At 34.8% G+C, this 3347-nt stretch overlaps 1 annotated feature.

The window, feature by feature from the left end:
• Positions 234 to 735: an enhancer, noted in NCBI's record as "NANOG hESC enhancer chr2:181971702-181972203 (GRCh37/hg19 assembly coordinates)". NCBI's record gives its function as "activates a minimal SCP1, AML or CMV promoter by ChIP-STARR-seq in primed H9 embryonic stem cells {active_cell/tissue: H9 hESC(primed)}" and the evidence as "EXISTENCE:reporter gene assay evidence [ECO:0000049][PMID:30033119]".

Here is a 3347-nt window from a genome sequence, read left to right as displayed (position 1 = left end):
AGAGGTAAACAGCAAATAAATAAGCCATACATGAATATGAAATTAACAGCATGATAATTGCTTTACTCCTAGAGTGTGTACAATATTAAATCCTCAAATAAACACTTACTTAACCTCATTCTCACGTGTGCCTATTGCTATCATCAAAAGCAGTATACCTAGAACTCAAACTAAGTCAAATTCCACGATGAGGTACAAAATCCTCAGAAATCATTGCCATGCCCTGGAAATTTCAGAGTGATTTCTTAGGAGTTCTAGTGCTGGTGGTATATTTGAAAACCAGTGAACACAAGAGAAAATTTAGAAATGAATTAAAAGAGTACATTTCACATATTATTATTATCTTGTTTATTCCATCATACTTAATTTCTTTGCTAATTCTTAAAAAGCTTCATCCAGATCATCCATATAGGCATTCCAGGGAAGTGCTTCCTTCCTGCTGAGACCACCTGCAAGCTCTCTCTCACTCTAACACAGACCCCTGCTGACTTGCTTTACAATATTTATGCAGGAAACTGTTAAACCTTATTTCTGTTGAATTGTTTCTTCTCTGCATAAGGCAGAAATGCTTTTCATAGTTTTCTTATGGCTCTTAACAACAACTAAAGCCTGTCTTGTGCTCTGGGCCCAGACTTGACCTAAATTTAACCCTAAGTAATGCTTTCTTCATCTTAGTCATAGCCTGAAAGTGACTCATTTATAAAGAGGCCACTGGTACAACTGGAGTTTTCCAGTAAGCAAGGGTTAAAAGGTCAGTAATAATGTTACTGCTACCCTTATGAGTATGCAACTGGTAGAGTTCAAAGTTATTTGGATATAACCTGACAAAAACATCTCATCATTTTCCACAGGGTACTTGAGAGTAAGATTCAGAAGGGATATATGGCTTGTGTACACATGAAACTGTCTTTCCTAGTCAGAGACATCAACCACTTCATTGGAAGCCAGCGACTAAAAAGTAAAATAAAATAAATTAAATTAAATTAAAATTAAAATTAAAATAAAACAATTATGAGATCCAAAGAAAGGAAAATCTTGTTGTCCCAAATAAGCACCTTTAAAAATAATTGTTTTACTGTTCTAGTGATGAAATTAGTATGTCTTTGTTGATCCACTTAAATTTGACTCAATGGGTAAATTTAAGCCTGAGGCTTTTATGCCATTATCAGAGGCTCTGTCAGTGAGTGCTTTAGCCTAATTACATTTGATGCAGCAAATCAACAAAACCACTGCTGGTATGACCTCTGCCAAGAGGACTAGCGAGCTAGACAAATGGAGCTTAAGATGTTATTAGTTGTTCTGTTGCAAAGTTCCTGATACATCCCGACAGGAGGCTGTTGCATGACTTGGGCATGCATCCTCCAGATGGCATTCTGCATTGGCTTGTGGCAAGGCTCACAGGGATACTGGCACATTTTCTCTGTCAAAATGAAAGTTTTCCAATTACAAGGAGATAATATGAGGAGATGCAAACTTAATCTCTTAAACAAAAGGTTGCAAGCTGTGTAATAGATATTTCAGGGGAGAGATTTCACTATAGTTCAATTGATTTAAACGTTGCAGATCACAAAATGTGCTATCTTTCCTAATAAAACCAAAGAATCAGCTGCAGTTGGTGCTATTTACTGGAACAGTGCTATAATGCTTTCATCATCTAAGAGATGCTTCTTTTAACAGTGTTCTTCCATGGAGTTGGAGTCTGTGCTCATTTTTTGTTTTTTTTCCTAATGTGTAAACAGGTACAAAGAAGCCATTTTGCTTTTAGTTAAACACCAAATGCCTTAAATGAAGTCTTCAAGTTTAATGTTAAAAGATACCAAATCATAGAATTTCATTAGGAAGACTACAAGTTAAATGGTAAGAAAGCCCTATTATCATCAAAACCTGTAAGACAACTTAGCTAAAATGCCAACAGTATTTTCTAACCCAGGGAATGCTAATAAAAATGGTATGTAGAACCCTCAATCCCTATGAGAATGAGGTGATATGCATCAACACTTATCCAAAAATAACTGACTCATCCAAGTAAATCAGTAAGTACCTTGTTGTAAGGTTACTTCTTAGAAAGATAGGGATTTTCAAGTTGACATAAAAATGCTAAGACAAAGCAGGGGAGCCCTCGTAGATCCGTTTCTACAAATCCAACAAGGACACTACATAAGTGTAGAACGTGTGCCAGCTCTGAGAAGAATGTTTTACAGGATAACTACAACCACACTCTTGTACTAAATGCATTAAACAGAATTTCAGCAGAGTTTAAGTGTTGAAATGATCATACAGTTCTAATGTAAGCAAAGATTCTTCAATATTGATACTGGATTACTTTCTTCTGTGGTTTAAAGAGAATTAACTGATCCAAAATTTCTAAGCACATATTCAGAATATTAAAAGAGAAAAGGTACATTTCCAAAAATTAAGGTAATTCATATACAGAAAAATATTTTTATCTCAAATTTCAAAACATTTAAAAAATATATTTTAGCCATTAAGATGAAGATCAATGTCACAAGGTTGTGCATAAACACTGAATTGCAGTCAATAAGGTAAAATCATAGTGGGCAGCTGCCTTTTGTCATTTCCATAGAAAGTAGCTAGGAAACTGTCATGTCTTTACTGAAAATTCAGTCAGCTAAATAAAGCAGGAGTATATATTCTAAGTAGTCTCAACTGCAACATTGTAAGATCTGTAAATCAGCCAGAAATATAAGCAAGGCCTTCGAATCTCTCCGAAAACTTAACAGATTCCTACCGAAGAGTTAACGTTTTCATGCAAGCAGCATTTTTAAAAAGCTTCAGCATCAACATAAAGTGGTCTATAACAGCTGTTGTAAAGCTCAACATCAATTTTATGTTGGCTCAACTACTAAACAGCAATCACAATGGCATCCCTTAGGAGGTATTTAAGGGCCCAAGGGTATAGCAATTTAAAAACTGAGTAGGAAATCAAAACAAATTCCCAGTCTGTTTACAAAAATACTTCTCCCTATGTTCTTGTACCACCACCTAGTGGTTACACGGCTCTCAATCTGACCATTGATAGAAACCAAATAGAAGGAAAGAAGAGGGAAGGAAGGGAGAGCGGAGGAAAAGTAAGAAAGGCGGGAGGAAAGAAAAAGAGAAGACCATGAAAATAAAAAGGAAAAAAAGGAGGAGAAAATAAAAACTAACAAACAAAAGCAAAAAGAAGTACACATATAATTTTCATATCTTAAGATCTACTTCCTCATAAAATTCATAGCATGTTACCAATTTGAATTAAAACACCGTTTAAAACCATTTCTCTTTACACATTTATTAAGTACATGAAAATTCTATAGTCGATATAACAACTCCCTGATTTTTTTTAA

The sequence above is a fragment of the Homo sapiens genome, chromosome 2 (assembly GCF_000001405.40).
Source record: "Homo sapiens chromosome 2, GRCh38.p14 Primary Assembly".
NCBI lineage: Eukaryota > Metazoa > Chordata > Mammalia > Primates > Hominidae > Homo > Homo sapiens.
The sequence above is the reverse complement of the archived record's forward strand: the minus strand, read 5'-3'. Positions and strand labels throughout refer to the sequence as shown.